Raw genomic sequence first — 14877 nt, 5'->3', positions numbered from 1 at the left:
TAGTGGGTGCGGGCTCACATTTGCTTGCCCTCCACGGACACATGTTATGAGATCCATGTGAAGTACTAACTCGTCACCAATGTGGGGCACCCTTGGCTCCCCCTGCCACCAAACCCTGGAGGAACAGGGCAGGTAGGTCACTGAGCTCAGGCAAAATGCATGGGTTGCGCCATACTGCAGGCCCTGAGTCTACCTCCACTGCCACAGATGGCTCCTCACACGACGCCAGGGCCCCCTGACACCAGTGGGCATGGGTCAGGGCCATGAGCCAGCTCATGGCCAACAAAGGTGGCTGGCCCAGATGCCACACACCGCTGCAGACCTGGCTATCGCATAGTCTGCCCCTGGGCGTGTTGGGCACACATCAAGATGCTGTCTCCAAGTGTGCACGGAAATCACAACCTAGAGCTACAGGGCCATGTGCTTTCTCTGGTGGGTCACCATCCATGTTCTGCACACCTCACACACACAGAGCTGGGCCACACTTGCCCAATCCGGAGCAACATGGTGCCCTCCCCTTTGCTTGTTCCCAAGACCCCATCACCCTAGAGGTGACACCATGGCTCAGAAGCAGCCTGAGCAATAAAATCCTAGGACAGGTCCCTCGACAGCGAGCCTTCCCACTTCAGGAGGCCACCCTTCACGACACTTGACCTCAGAGATAGGATGACCCCCAGCGGGATACAGGCTGCCCCTTGGTCAAAAGCCCAAGAGTCCCAGGGCTGACCTGCCACACCACCAGGTGCTGGCCAGAGCTCTACCTTAACCCAGTCACAAGGAAACAACTCTGCCCCCCACCAGGCTCCAGGAGACCCACTGAGATGGCCCATTGCTAAACAGGGACAGTTGCATTCAGGGCCATAGGTGGGGCACTATCCTTGAATCTCCACAACCCAACACCATGGGTCCATTCACGCACCACACTCTGGGGACCAAGAGGTCACCATTAACCCTGTGGTGCCCCGTAGCCCCTCTGGCCCCCCTCATGTAGCCTGGGCAGTCCTCAAGGCCTTACTGCAGCACCGAGTCTCAACTAGGCACTGTCCTATGTTAGGCAGAAGGAACCCTTTCCTGCCTGGACCACCATCACCCCTTCAGGGCTTCAGAGAAGGTGTCCTCCTTGGGTCCGATTCCAAAAAGCCTGCCTTCCAGGAGAACCTTTCCGTCTCAGGTGGAAATTCAGGTCAGCTCCCTGAGAAAACCCTTGTGGCCCAAAGGCTGATCCTTGGGGACCCCATATGGTCTGGCTCATGATCCATAACACCAGCAGGATCCACTCACCTATGCCAGTCAATGCCAAGGGGCCCTCCTAGGTGAAAGAGCTCACTGAAAGACAAAGGCGAGAACAGGGACTCAGGAAGGAGCCATCAACATTCCCTGCCCCCAGGGAACTGGAGCACCGACACCAAGCCCACACAGGGAAACTAGAGTGCAGAGACAGGTTGGGCCACCTCCAGATGCCCTTCAGAGCCACCAGGTCCCAGGTCCAAAATACAGTGGCCCTGTTGGGGACCCTGGGATCCCAGCATCCTTTTCCAAAATTCTCCCCCAGGCTGGGCCTCAGCGTAATCCTATTGAGCATGATTTTTAAGTCATCACCTCTCTTCAGGACAATATAAGGTTCTCATCACTGACCCAACCCAGGGCACCCCCCTTCCCGCACATGCATCCAGTGGAACCCGGATGTACTCATCACAGCTCAGTGCAGGAGATCAGGGCACCAGGAAGGGCTGGAGCTTCAGCGCACCGATGGCTGAGCACCTGGCTGATGGACACTGGCCCAGGAAAAGCAAGCCCAACAGAAGTCTCACCATCTAGGGGAACAGGTGGAGAACATGTGACCACCCTCCATGTGGAGAAAGGGGTGTTGGGTGCCAGCTCACGCTTGCTCCCCCTCCATGGACACATGTGATGAGATCCATGCGAAATACTGACTCATCACCTATGCAAGTGTCTCTCCCTGCCACCGAACCCGGGAAGGACAAGGCAGGTAGGTCACTGGGCTCAGGCAAAACGCCCAGGGTATGCACGACTGCAGGACCCAAGGGCACCTCCACTGGCCAAAACTGCTCCTCCGCATGACCCTAGGGCTGCCCTGGGACCACTGGGCAGAGGTCCGGGCCACCAGCCAGGTCACAGCCAACCAAGGAGGCTGGCCCAGATGCCACATGCTACTGCAGACCTGACAGTGGCACAGCCTGCCCCTGGGCATGGTGGGCATGCGTACAGGCACCCTCTCCATGCAGGCACCAGAAAAGACAGCATGGGGCCTCAGGGTCACTTGTTTTCTCTGGTGGGTCCCCATCCATACTCCACATACCTCCAAGACACATAGCCAGTCACACATAGCCAATCCGGAGTCTCATGCTGCCCCCTCCTTTGCTTGGTCCCAAGACTGCCACCCTGGAGGTGATACCATGGCTCCCATGCAGCGTGAGCAACAAATTCCCAGTACAGATGCCTCAATAGCGGGCCTTCCCAACTCAGGAGGCCACCCTTCACAACACTTGGGTGACCCCCAGCGGGATGCGGGCTGTCCCTGGCCCAAAGCCCATGAGTCCCAGGGCTGACCTGCAACACCACCAGGTGCCAGCCAGAGTCAACCTTGACCCAATCCCAGGGAAACAACTCCGCCCCCCAACCAGGCCCCAGGAGACCCACTGGGATGGCCCATTGCTCAACAGCGATGGTCACATTCAGGGCCATGGGTAGAGCAGGATCCTTGAATCTCTGCTACCCAACCCCATGGGCCCATTCACACACCACACTCCAGGGACCAAGAGCTCCCTTGTTACCCCATGGCACTCTGTAGCCCCTCTGGCCCCCCTCATGTGGCCCTGTTCTCATCATTGACCCAACCCAGGGAACCCCCTCCCTGCACAAACATCCAGTGGAACCCGGATGTGCTCACCACAGCACAGTGCAGGAGAGCAGGGTGCCAGGAAGGGTCAGAGTTTCAGCCCACTGGGGGCTGAGCACCTGGCTGAGAGACACTGGCCCTCGGCCTGCGGGTCCCACACATCTTCCTCCAGGCTCACCATCTAGAGGGACAGAAGGAGGACATGTGTCCAACCAGGGCCTCACATATCAATGCAGGGAAGGGGCTAAGGGATACCCATGTGATGGGATCCATGCTGAACACTGACCCAACACAGATGTGGGGCATCCTTTGCCCTCTCTGCCACCAAACCCTGGAAAGACAGGGAAAGCAAAAGACAGTGCTGGCTCAGGCAAGATGCCTAGGCTGTACCCTACTGCAGGCCCCAAGAGCACCTCCACTGCTCAGGCCAGCTCCCACACATGACCCCAGGGCCATACCAGGGACACAGGGCACAGGGCACAGGACACAGGACAGGGCCATCAACCAGCTCCTGGCCAACCAAGGTGGTTGGCCAGATGCCAAAAGCCGCTGCAGACCTGGCCCTCCCAGAGCCAGCACCTGAGCATTGTGGGCACCGGCCCTGGTGCCCTCTCCAAGCCTGGGGGGCCCCTGGGCCACACTTTCTCTGGTGGGTCCCCATCCATGCCCTGCCCAACTCCGACACACAGAGCCCGGCTACACTCAGCCAATCAGGAACCAGATGGTGTCTTCTCCTTTCCTTGGGCACAAGACCCTGCCACCCTGAGGTGACCCCAAGGCTCAGAAGCAGCCTGGGTGGCAAATTCCCTTGACAGCAGGCCTTCCCACCTTAGGAGGACACTCTTCACCACTGGACCTCAAGGAAGGTTTGTCCCCAGCAGGATCAGAGCTGCCCCCTTGACTGAAGGCCCCCAAGTCCCAGGGCCTGCAGCAGCACCAGGTGCCAGCCAGAGCTCAGTCTTGACCCAACCTCACTGAAACAGTGCCATCCCTCACCAGACTCAAGGAGGTACCATAAGATGGCCCACTGCTCAACAGGGTTGGTCCCATTCAAGGCCATGGGTGTGGAGCATTCCTTGAATCTTCACAGCCTGACTGTGTGGGCCCAATCACTCACCCCTCTCCAGGGAGAGAGAACTCCAGTGTAACCTCTAGGGTGCGCCACATTCCCTGTGCCCCTCCTCCCCATGTGCCCTGGACAGTACTCCAGGCCTGAGCTGTCCACCGAGTTTCAGCTGGGAGCTGCCCTACATTGGGCTGAAGGAACCCTTTGCTGCCTGGACCACTGTCACCCCTGCAGGGCTTCAGGAAAGATGTGCTCCTTGGGTCAGATTCCCAAGGAAGTGGCCCTCCTGGAGAAACCATTGCTCCCTGGTGGGGAGTAGGTTGGCAGCCTGAGAAAACCCTAGTGGCCCGAAGGCTGAATGTCGAGGACCCCATGCTGCATCACTCATGGCCCATGACCGAAACAGGATGCACTCACCTATGCCGCTCAAGGCCGCGGGGACCACTTGGGCAGAAGAGCTCACCAAAAGACACAGGGGAGAACGGGGACTCAGGAAGGAGACTCCAACATGCCCCATAACCAGGGATCCGGAGCCCAGATACCAAGCCAGCACAGGGAGCCTGGGCTGCCTCACGGAGGAGCACAGAGATAGGGGTGGGCCCACCAGATGCCCTTCAGGGCCTCAAGGTCTCCAGCCCAAAATACATTTACTCTGTCAGGGACCTCAGAATCCCAGCATCCTCTTCCAAAACTCTCACCTAGGCTGGGCCTCAGCGTAATCCTATTGGGCATGATTTTTAAGTCATCACCTCTCTTCAGGACAATATAAGGTTCTCATAATCGACCTAACCCAGGTATCCCCCTCCCTGCACATGCATCCAGCAGGACCCAGATGGGCTCACCACAGCTCAGTGCAGGAGCCAAGGGTGCCAGAAGGGCCCAAGCTTCAGCGCACCAGGGGCTGGGCACCTGGCTGACTGACATTGGCCCAGTGACAGCGGGCCCAACACAAGTTTTCCTCTGGGGTCGCCATGTGGGGAGACAGGAGGAAGACAAGTGTCCAAACTGACCTCTACGTGGGGAAGGGGGTCAGCAGTGCCATCTCACCCTTGCTCACCCTCCATGGACACATGTGATGAGTTCAATGTGAAATACTGACTCATCAAGTACACGGAGCACCTTTGGCCCTCCCTTCCACCGATCCCGGAGAGGACAGGGCAGGTGGGTCACTGGGCTTGAGCAAAACACCTAGGCTGTGCCATACTACAGGCCCCAAGAGCACCTCCACTGTTCAAAATGGCTCCCCTGCATGATCCCAGGGCTGCCCTGGGGCCAGTAGGCACAGAGCCGGGCCACCAACCAGGTCACGGCCAACCAAGGAGGCTGGCCCAGATGTCACACTCCGCTGAAGACCTGGTAGTTGCCCAGCCTGCCCCTGGGCATGGCACGCTTGTCCAGGCACCCTCTCCAAGCATGCAACAGAAATCATAGCCTGGAGTTGCAGTGCTACGTGCTTTCTCTCGTGGGTCCCCATCCATACTCTGCACACCTCCCACACAGAGCCAGCAACACTTGGCCAATCAGGAGACACATGGTGCCCTCTGCTTTGCTTGGACCCAAGACCCTGCCACCCTGGATGTGACACCAAAGCTCAGAAGAAGCTTGAGTGACAAATTCCCAGGACATGTCCCTCAACAGCAGGACTTCCCACCTCAGGAGGCCACCCTTCCAGACATTTGATGTTGGAAAAAGGGTGACCCCCAGTGGGATTCGGGCTCTCCTTTGGCCCAACGCCCACGGGTCCCAGTGCTGACCTGCAGCACCACCAGGTGCCGGCCAGAACTCTGCCTTCACCCAACCCCAGGGAAACAATGCCACCCCCCAACCAGGCTCCAGGAGACCCACTGGGATGGCCCATTTCTCAAGAGGGACCATCCCATTCAGGGGCATGGTGGGGTGCGATCCTTGAATCTCCATGAACAAACCCAAGAGGTCCATTTGTGCATCACACGCCAGGCACCGAGAGCTCCCACGTGACCCCTGTGGTGCCCCGGAGGCTCTCAGTCGCCCTCATGTGGCCTGGGCAATCCTTGAGGTCTGACCCAAGCACCGATTCTCAGCTAGGAGCTGCCTTGTGTGGGGCTGAAAAAAACCCTTTCCTGCCTGGACCACCATCACCCTTGCAGGGCTTCAGGGAAGGTGTCCCCCTTGGGTCTGATTCCCCAAAACGCCGCCCTCCTGGAGAACCTATGCCTCCCCGGTGGGAATTCAGGTGGGCTCCCTGAGAAAACCCTTATGGCTGTAAGGCTGACCCTCGGCGACCCATGTGGCCTTGCTCATGACCCATGACCCCAGCAGGATCCACTCACCTATACCGGTCAATGCCAAGTGGCCTGCCTGGGCAGAAGCACTCACTGAAAGACACAAGGGGAGAACAGGGGCTCAGGGAGGAGCCACCAACGTTCCCTGGCCCAGGGAACCAGAGTGCCAACAGAAAGCCCACAGAGGGAGCCTGGACTGCCTCATGGAGGAGCACAGAGACAGGTTGAGCCACCTCCAGGTGCCCTTCAGGGCCTTGAAGTCTCCAGCCTAAAATATAAGGGCCCTGCCAGGGACTTCGGGATCCTACTGTCCCCTTCCAAAATTCTCAACTAGGCTGGGCCTCAGCGTAATCCTATTGAGCATGATTTTTAAGTCACCACCTCTCTTCAGAACAATATAAGGTTCTCGACACTGACTGAACCCAAGGCACCTTCCCTCCCTGCACATGCATCCAGCAGGACCATGATATACTCACCACAGCTCAGTGCAGGAGGCCAGGATGCCAGGAAAGGCCTGAGCTTCAGTGCACCAGGGGCTGGGAAACTGGCTGACAGACACTGGCCCAGGGCCATTGGGCCCAATGCAAATCTTCCTCCAGGCTCACCATCTGGGGGGACAGGAGGAGGATATGTGTCCAAATAGGGCCTCACATCTCCATGTGGAGAAGGGATCCCCTGTAATGGGTTCTATGTGGAACAGACCCATCACAGATGCAGGGCACCCTTGGCCCTCCCCATCACCAAACCCTGAGAAACAAGGCAGGCTGGTCATTGGGTTTGGGCCAGATACCTGGGCTGAGCCATACTTCCGTTCCGGAGAGCACCTCCACTGCCCTCACCAGCTCCCCTGCATGATCCCAGGGTTGCCCTGTGACCACTGGGCATGGGCCATGGCCACCAACCCGCTCCCAGCCAACCAAGGAGGGTAGCCTGGAAGCTATGCACCGTTGCAGACCTGGCAGTCACATAGCCTGCCTCTGGGCGTGGTGGGCACCCACTGAGGAGCCCTCCCCAAGTGTGCACTAAAAATCACAGCCTGGGGACCTGGGCCATGAGCTTTCACTGGTGGGACCCCATTCATATCCCACACCTCTCAAACACAGAGCTGGGCCACACTCGGCCAATCAAGGGCCACATGGTATCTTCTCGTTTCCTTGGGCCCAAGATCCCGAGACCCTGGAGGTGACCCCTTGGCTAAGAAGGCGGGGTGGCAAATTCCCGGTACAACACCCTAGACAGTGGACCTTCCCACCTCAGAATGCCACTGTTACTGCCACTCAAACATGGAGAACAGGTGACCCCCATGGGACATGGGATGCCCCCTTAGCCCAAAGCCCATGGGTCACAGGACTGGCCTGAAGCACCACCAGGAGCTGGCCAGATCTCAACCTTGACCCAACCCCATTGAAACTGCACCACCCCTGACCAGGCTCAATACGTGCCACTGGGATGGCCCATTGTTCAACAGGATCAGCCCCATTCAGGGTCACAGGTGGGATGAGATCCTTGAACCTCCATGGCCCGACCCCATCACCACCCCCCCCAGGAACATGCCCGGGGACCGAGAGCTCCCAAGTGAAACCCGTGGCACCCTGGAGCCCTTCTGGCCCGCCTCATGTGGCCTGGGCAGTCCTCAAGGCCTGACCTGCACACCAAGTCTCAACTGGGCGATGTCCTGCATGGGGCTGAAGGAACCCTTTGCTATCTGGACCATTGTCATTCCTGCAGATCTTCAGGGAAGGCATCCTCCTCAGGTAAGATTCCCAAGGAAGCCGCCCTCCTGGAGAAACCATCCCTCCCTGATGGGAATTGGGGTCAGCTCCCTGAGGAAACCCTCATGGCCTGAAGTCTGACCCTCAGTGAACCCATGCCCATGATGCCAGCAGGATCCACTCACCTATGTTGGTCAATGCCAGGAGGCCCCCCCTTGGCAGAAGAGCTCACTGAAAGACACAAGGGGAGAACTGGGGCTCAGGGAGGAGCCACCCACGTGCCACTTCACTGGGGAACAGAAAGGCCAACACCAAGCCCGCACAGGGAGCCTGGGCTGCCTCACAGAGGAGTGCAGAGACAGAGTTGGGCCTCCTCCAGATACCTTTCAGGGCCTCCAGGGCTCCAGCCCAAAATACAGTGGCCCTGCCGGAAATCTCGGGATCCCAGCATCCTCCTCCAAATTTCTCACCTAGGTTGGGCCTCAGCGTAATCATTGAGCATGGTAATTTTAAGTCATCACCTCTCTTCAACACAATATAGGGTTCTCATCATTGACCCAACCCAGGGCACCCCCCCTGCCCACACATACATCCAGCGGGACCCGGATGTGCTCACCACAGCTCAGTGCAGGAGATCAAGGGGCCAGGAAGGGCCTGAGCTTCAGTGCACCAGGGGCTGAGCACCTGGCTGACGGACACTTGCCAGGGTCCATTGGTCCTGATGCAAGTCTTCCTTCAGGCTCACCATCTGGATGGACAGGAGGAGGACATGTGTCCAAACAGGGCCTCATACCTCCAGGTGGGGAATGGGGTAAGGGATACCCATGTGATGGGATCCATGTGGAACACTGACCTGTCACGGATACAGGGCACTCTCGGCCCTCCCCATCACCAAACCCTGAAAAAACAGGGCAGGTGGATCACTGGGCTTGGGCAAGACCCCTGGTCTTCATGCTATTGCAGACCTTGAGGGCACATCCAGTGCCCCCTCTGACTTCTCCTTCACACGATCCCAGGGCTGCCCCAGGACCACTGAGCATGGGACAGGGTCACCGACATGCTCATGGCCAACCGAGGAGCCTGGCCCAGAAGCCATGTGCCACCGTGGACATGGAAGTTGCATAGCCTGCCGCTGGGCATGGTGGGCACCTGCCCAGGCACTCTCTCCAAGCCACACCTGAAATCACAGCCTGGAGTACCAGGGCCATGTGCTTTCTCTGGTGGGTCCCCATCCATGCCCCACACATGTCCCAAACACAGATCCGGGCCACCCTTGGCCAATCCTGGGCCACATGGTGTCCTTTCCTTTCCCTAGGCCCAAGACCCTGCCACCCTGGACATGACCCCATGGCACAGAGAGTCTGGGCAGCAAATTCTCAGGATAGGACCATCAACAGCGGGCCTTCCCACCGCACATTCCACTCTTCCAGCCACTCACCCATGGGGAAGGGGTGACCTCCAGCAGGACACAAGCTGTCGACTTGGCCTAAAGCTCACGAGTCCCAGGTCCGGCCCACAGCCTCACCAGGCACTGGCCAGAGCTCAGCCTTGACCCAAACCCAGGGAAACAGCACTGCCCCCCACCAAGCTCAAAGAGGCACCATGGGATGGTCCATAGCTCAACAGGGTCAGTCCCATTTTGGGACATAGTTGGGTACAATCCTTGAATCTCCACGGCCCAATCCCATAGGCTCATTCAAGCACCCCTCTCCAGGGAAAGAGAACTCTTGCATGACCCCCGTGGTGCCCCGGAGGCCCTGTGGCCCCCATCATGTGGCCTCGGCAATCCTCGAGGCCTGACACATGCACTGAGTCTCAGCTGGGAGCTCTCCTGCACGGGGCTGAAGGAAGTCTTTGCTGCCTGGACCACTGTCATCCCTGCAGGGCTTCAGGAAGGCAACATCTTGGGTCCAGTTCCCAAGGAAGCCGCCCTCCTGTAGAAACCATCCCTCCCCGGTGGAAATACAGGTTGGCTCCCTGAGGAAACCCTCCTGTCCTAAAGACTGACCCTTGGTGACCCCACGCGGCCTGACTCATGGCCCATGACACCAGCAGGATGCACTCACCTAGGCTAATCAAGGTGAAGGGGCCCTTCTGAGCTGAAGAGCTCACTGAAAGACACAAGGCAAGAATGGGGACTCAGGGAAAAGCCACCAATGTGCCCTGCCCCTGGGAAACAGTGCCAACACCAAGTCCGCACAGGGAGCCTGCTGTGCTTCACGGAGGAGTGCAGAGACAGGGTTGGGTCCCTGTGAGAGGCCCTTGAGGGCCTCCAGGTCTCCAGCCCAAAATACAGTGGCCCTGCCAGGGTCCTTGTGATTCTCAGTGTCCACTTCCAAAATTGTCACCTAGGCTGGGACTCAGCGTAATCCTATTGAGCATGATTTTTAAGTCATCACCTCTCTTCAGGACAATATAAGGTTCTCATCATTGACCCAACCCAGTGCACCCCGCTCCCCATGCATACATCCAGAAGAACCCGGATGGGCTCACCAGCTCCATGAAGGAGACCAGGGTGCCAGGAAGGGCCCAAGCTTCAGTACAAAAGGACCTGGGCACCTGGTTGATGGCCTCTGGCCGGCGCACAGAAGGCCCAGTGCAAGTCTTCCTCCAGGCTCACCATCTGGGGGGACAGGAGGAGGGCCCATGTGATGGGATTCACATGAAATACTGACCTGTCATGGACACAGGGTACCCTTGGGCCTCCCCGCCACCGAACCCTGGAAGGACAGGGCAGGGAGGTCACTGGGCTCGGGCAAGATGCCTGGGATGTGCCTACTGCACACCTCAAGATAACCTCCCCTGCCTACACTGGCTGCTCCACATGACCCCAGGGCTGCACAGAGATCACTGGACACGGGCTAGGGCCACCAACCAGCTCACAGCCAACAAAGGAGGCTGGTCCTGATGCCAGGCACTGCCGCAGACCTGGTAGTTGCATAGCCTACCCTTGGGCATGGTGGGCGCCCAACCAGGCGCCCTCTCCAAGTGCGCATCAGAAATCGCAGCCTGGGGCTTCATTGGCCCGTGCTTTCTCTGGTGGGTCCCCATCCATGCCCTGCACACCTCCCAAACTCAGAGCCAGGCCATACTCGACCAATCAGGGGCCACATGGTGTCTTCTCTGCTCCTTGGGCCCAAGACCCCACCACCTGGAGGTGACGCCATGGCTCAGAAGCAGCCTGGGCAGCAAATTCCCAGGACAGGACCCTCCACAGCAGGCCTTCCCACCTAAGGAGGCCATGCATCCTGACACTGAAACTCAGGAAAGATGTGACCCCCAGCAGAACTCAGGCTGCCGACCTGGCCCAAAGCCCACAAGTCCCTGGGCCAGCCTGCAACACCATCAGGTGCTGGCCAGAGCTCAAGCTTCACCCATCCCCACTGAAACAGTGGCGCCCCCACCAGGCTCAATGTGGAGCCACTGGGATGGCTCATTGCTCAACAGCATCGGTCCCATTCAGGGCCACAGGTGGGCGCGATCCTTGAAACACTGCAGCCTGACCCTGTGGGCCTGATCACTCTGTCACCACCCCCACAACAAGCCTGAAGACCGAGAGCTCCTGCATGACCCCTGTGGTGCCTCACAGCCTGTGTGGCACCCCGCATGTGGCCTGGGCAGTTCTTGAGGCCTGACCCATGCACAGAATCTCATCTGGGAGCTGCCTGCCCTGCAGGGGCTGAAAAAACCCTTTGCTGCTTGAAACATCATCACTTCTGCAGGTCTTCAGAGAAGATGTCCTCCATGGGTCCGATTCAAAAGAAAGTGGCCCTCTGGGAGAACCCATCCCTCCCCAGTGGGGATTCCCCTGCTCCCTGAGGAAACTCTCCTGTCCTGAAGGCTGACCTGGAGTCCCCACATGGCCTGGCTCATGGCCCATGACACCAGCAGGTTCCACTCACCTATGCTGGTCAACGCCAGGGGGCCCACCTGGGCAGAAGAAGTCACTCAAAGACACAAGGGAGAAAGGGGACTCAGGGAGGAGCCGCCAACCTGCCCCGCCCCTGGGGAATGGGACTCTGACACCAAGCCCACACAGGGAGCCTGGGCTGCCTCACGGAGGAGTGCAGAGACAGGGCTGGGGGCTGCCAAGATGCCCTTCAGGGCCTTGAGGTCTCCAGCCCAAAATACGGTGGCCCTGCCACGGACCTCAGGATCCCAGCGTCCTCTTCCAAAATTCTCCCCTAGGTTGGGCCTCAGCGTAATCCTATTGAGCATGATTTTTAAGTCATCACCTCTCTTCAGAAAATATAAGGTTCTCATCATCGACCCAACCGAGGGCAACCCCCTCCCATGCATGCATCCAGTGGGACCCAGATGGGCTCACCACAGCTCAGGGCAGGAGACCAGGGCTCCAGGAAGGGCCTGAGCTTCAGTGCATCAGGAGCTGGGGACCTGGCTGACAGAAACTGGCCCAGCTCCATTGGGCCCAATGCAAGTCTTCCTCCGAGCTCACCATCTAGGACAGGAGGACACATGTCCAAGTAAGGCCTCATGCTTCCATGTGGGGAAGGTGGGTAGGGGATATCCATGTGATAGGATCCATGCAGAGCACTGATGTGTCACGGAGACAAACATGGACCACCCTTGGCCCTCCCAGCCACCCAACCCTGGAAGGACAGTGCAGGTGGGTCACTGGTCTCACACAAAAAGTCCAGGCTGCGCCCTACTGCAGGTCCTGAGAGCACCTCCACTGCCCTGCTGGCTGCCCTGCACAATGCCAGGTCTACCCTGAGACCACTGGGCACAGGCCAGGGCCACCAACCAGCACATGGCCAACCAGAAGGCTTGCCCGGATGCCACGCGCTGCTGCAGACCTGGCAGTCGAGAGCCTGCTCCTGCCCCTCTCCAAGCACACACTGGAAATCACAGCCTGGGGCTCCAGGGCTATGTACTTTCTTTGATACATCCCCATCCACACCCTGCACACCTCCCAAACACAGAGCTAGGCCACACTCAACCAATCTGGGGACACATGTTATGCTCCTCTTTCCTTGGACCCAAGATGCTGCCACTCTGGAGGTGACCTCATGTCTCAGAAGCAGCCTGGGTGGCAAATTCCCAGGACAGGTTGCTCAATAGCAGGACTTCCCACCTTAGGAAGCCACCACTCCCGCCATTCAACCTCCGGGAAGGGGTGACCCCAAGCATGACACAAGCTGTCCCCATGGCCCAAAGCCCATGAGTTCTAGGGCCAGCCTGCAGCACCACAGGCACTAGCCAGAGCTCAGCCTTGACCTAGCCCCAGGGAAACAGCACCACCCACCGCCAGACTCAAGGAGGTGCCATTGGGATGGCCCATTACTCAACAGGGTCAGTCCCATTCAGGGCCATGGGTGTCCTTGAAACTCCGCGGCATGACCCCCACGGACCCAATCGCCTACCCCTCTCTGCAGACCCCCTGTAGTGCCCCGGAGCCCCTGTGGCCACCTCATGTGTCCTGGGCAGTCCTCAAGGCCTGACCGATGCACCAAGTCTCAGATGGGAGCTGCCTGCTTGGTGCTGAATGAACCCTTTCCTGCCTGGACCACCACCACCCCTGCTGGGCTTCAGGACAGGCGTCCTTCTTGGGTCCGATTCCCAAGGAAGTGGCCCTTCTGGATAACTCATCCCCGGTGGGAATTCAGGTCCACACTTTTAGGAAACTCTCATGGCCCGAAGGCAGATGCATGGTGACCCCACTTTGCCTCGCTCATGACCCATGACCCAAAGAGGATCCACTCACCTATGCCGGTCAATGTCAGAGGGCCCAAATGGGCGGAAGAGCTCACTGAAAGAGACAGGGGAGAATGGGGGCTCTGGAAGGAGGTGCCCACATGCCACGCCTGGGAACCAGAGCACCAACACCAAGGCCACACAGGGAGCCAGGGCTGCCTCATGGAGGAGCACAGAGACAGGTTGGACCCCCTCAAGATGCCCTTTAGGGCCTCGAGTTCTCTAGTCCAAAATACAGTGGCCCTGCCTGTGAACTTGGGATCCCAGCATCCTCTTCCAGAATTTTAACCTAGACTGGGCCTCAGCATAATCCTATTGAGCATGATTTTTAAGTCATCACCTCTCTTCAGGACAATATAAGGTTCTCATCATCGACCCAACCTAGGGCACATCCCTCCCTGTGCATGCATCCAGTGGGACCTGGTTGTGCTCACCACACCTCAGTGCAGGAGACCAGGGCGTTGGGAAGGGCCTGAGCTTCAGCACACTGGGGGCTGGGGACCTGGCTGACGCACACTGGCCCAGAGCCACGGGGTCTTCCTCTGGGCTCACCATCTGGTGAGATAGCTGGAAGATGGGTCCAAACAGGGCCTCACCCTGCAATGCGGGGAAGAGAGTGGGGAGTGCCGGCTCACACATGCTCTCCCTGCATGTACCCATGTGATGGGATCCAGGAGGAACGCTGACCTGTCATGGACGTGGGGGACCCTTGGCCCTCCCTGCTACCGAACCCTGGAAGGAAAGGGCAGGTGGTTCACTGCGCTCAAGCAAGAACACCTGGGCTGTGCCCTACTGCAGGCCCCAAGAGCACCTCCACTGCCCATGCCGGCTTCCCCTGAACAACCCCAGGGCCGCACCAGGACCCCTCGGCACAGGCCAGGGCTATCAACCAGCTCATAAGCAATCAAGGAGGCTAGCCCAGATGCCACAAACTGCTGCAGACCTGGCAGTCACATAGCCTGCGCCTGGGCATGGAGAGTGTCCACTCAGACGCCCTCTATAAGCACGCCGGAAATTGCATCCTGGGGCCCAGGGCCACGCGCCTTCTCTGGTGGGTCCCCATTCATGCACCACATACCACCCAAACACTCTCCCCATTCTCAGCCAATCAGGGGACACATGATGCCCTCTCCTTTCCCTGGGCTCAAGATCCCGCCTCTCTGGAGGTGAACCCATGGCTTAGAAGCAGCCTGAACAGCAAATTGGTGGGACAGGACCCTCAACAGTGGGCCTTTCACCACAGGATGCCTGCCACCCTTCCGG

General features: G+C 58.7%; 2 long non-coding RNA genes and 7 other non-coding genes across 9 annotated transcripts in view; all 9 read right to left on the bottom strand.

The window, feature by feature from the left end:
* The window catches only part of SNHG14 (small nucleolar RNA host gene 14), a 595855-nt gene that overhangs the window by 199209 nt on the left and 381769 nt on the right, over positions 1 to 14877 (bottom strand). The window contains exons 99-108 of the long non-coding RNA NR_146177.1: positions 14054 to 14211; positions 13625 to 13669; positions 12227 to 12358; positions 8516 to 8647; positions 8085 to 8130; positions 6664 to 6795; positions 6236 to 6280; positions 2912 to 3041; positions 1690 to 1814; positions 1282 to 1326 (exon numbers count right to left, since the gene is read on the bottom strand). This is a non-coding gene — a long non-coding RNA (small nucleolar RNA host gene 14). The remainder of the gene's footprint in view (positions 1 to 1281; positions 1327 to 1689; positions 1815 to 2911; positions 3042 to 6235; positions 6281 to 6663; positions 6796 to 8084; positions 8131 to 8515; positions 8648 to 12226; positions 12359 to 13624; positions 13670 to 14053; positions 14212 to 14877) is intronic.
* Positions 1556 to 1637, bottom strand: SNORD115-26 (small nucleolar RNA, C/D box 115-26). The gene has a single exon (NR_003343.1). It is a non-coding gene; the product is annotated as a small nucleolar RNA, C/D box 115-26 (small nucleolar RNA).
* Positions 4632 to 4713, bottom strand: SNORD115-25 (small nucleolar RNA, C/D box 115-25). The gene has a single exon (NR_003342.1). It is a non-coding gene; the product is annotated as a small nucleolar RNA, C/D box 115-25 (small nucleolar RNA).
* On the bottom strand, positions 6525 to 6595 carry SNORD115-24 (small nucleolar RNA, C/D box 115-24). Its single transcript, NR_003495.1, has one exon. It is a non-coding gene; the product is annotated as a small nucleolar RNA, C/D box 115-24 (small nucleolar RNA).
* PWAR4 (Prader Willi/Angelman region RNA 4) lies at positions 8221 to 8562 on the bottom strand. The gene has a single exon (NR_022010.1). It is a non-coding gene; the product is annotated as a Prader Willi/Angelman region RNA 4 (long non-coding RNA).
* SNORD115-23 (small nucleolar RNA, C/D box 115-23) lies at positions 8377 to 8458 on the bottom strand. Its single transcript, NR_003315.1, has one exon. It is a non-coding gene; the product is annotated as a small nucleolar RNA, C/D box 115-23 (small nucleolar RNA).
* Positions 10255 to 10336, bottom strand: SNORD115-22 (small nucleolar RNA, C/D box 115-22). Its single transcript, NR_003314.1, has one exon. It is a non-coding gene; the product is annotated as a small nucleolar RNA, C/D box 115-22 (small nucleolar RNA).
* Positions 12091 to 12171, bottom strand: SNORD115-21 (small nucleolar RNA, C/D box 115-21). The gene has a single exon (NR_003313.1). It is a non-coding gene; the product is annotated as a small nucleolar RNA, C/D box 115-21 (small nucleolar RNA).
* SNORD115-20 (small nucleolar RNA, C/D box 115-20) lies at positions 13911 to 13992 on the bottom strand. The gene has a single exon (NR_003312.1). It is a non-coding gene; the product is annotated as a small nucleolar RNA, C/D box 115-20 (small nucleolar RNA).

Source organism: Homo sapiens, chromosome 15 (assembly GCF_000001405.40).
Source record: "Homo sapiens chromosome 15, GRCh38.p14 Primary Assembly".
Taxonomy (NCBI): Eukaryota; Metazoa; Chordata; class Mammalia; order Primates; family Hominidae; genus Homo; species Homo sapiens.
This window is presented reverse-complemented; position numbering and strand designations above follow the sequence as displayed.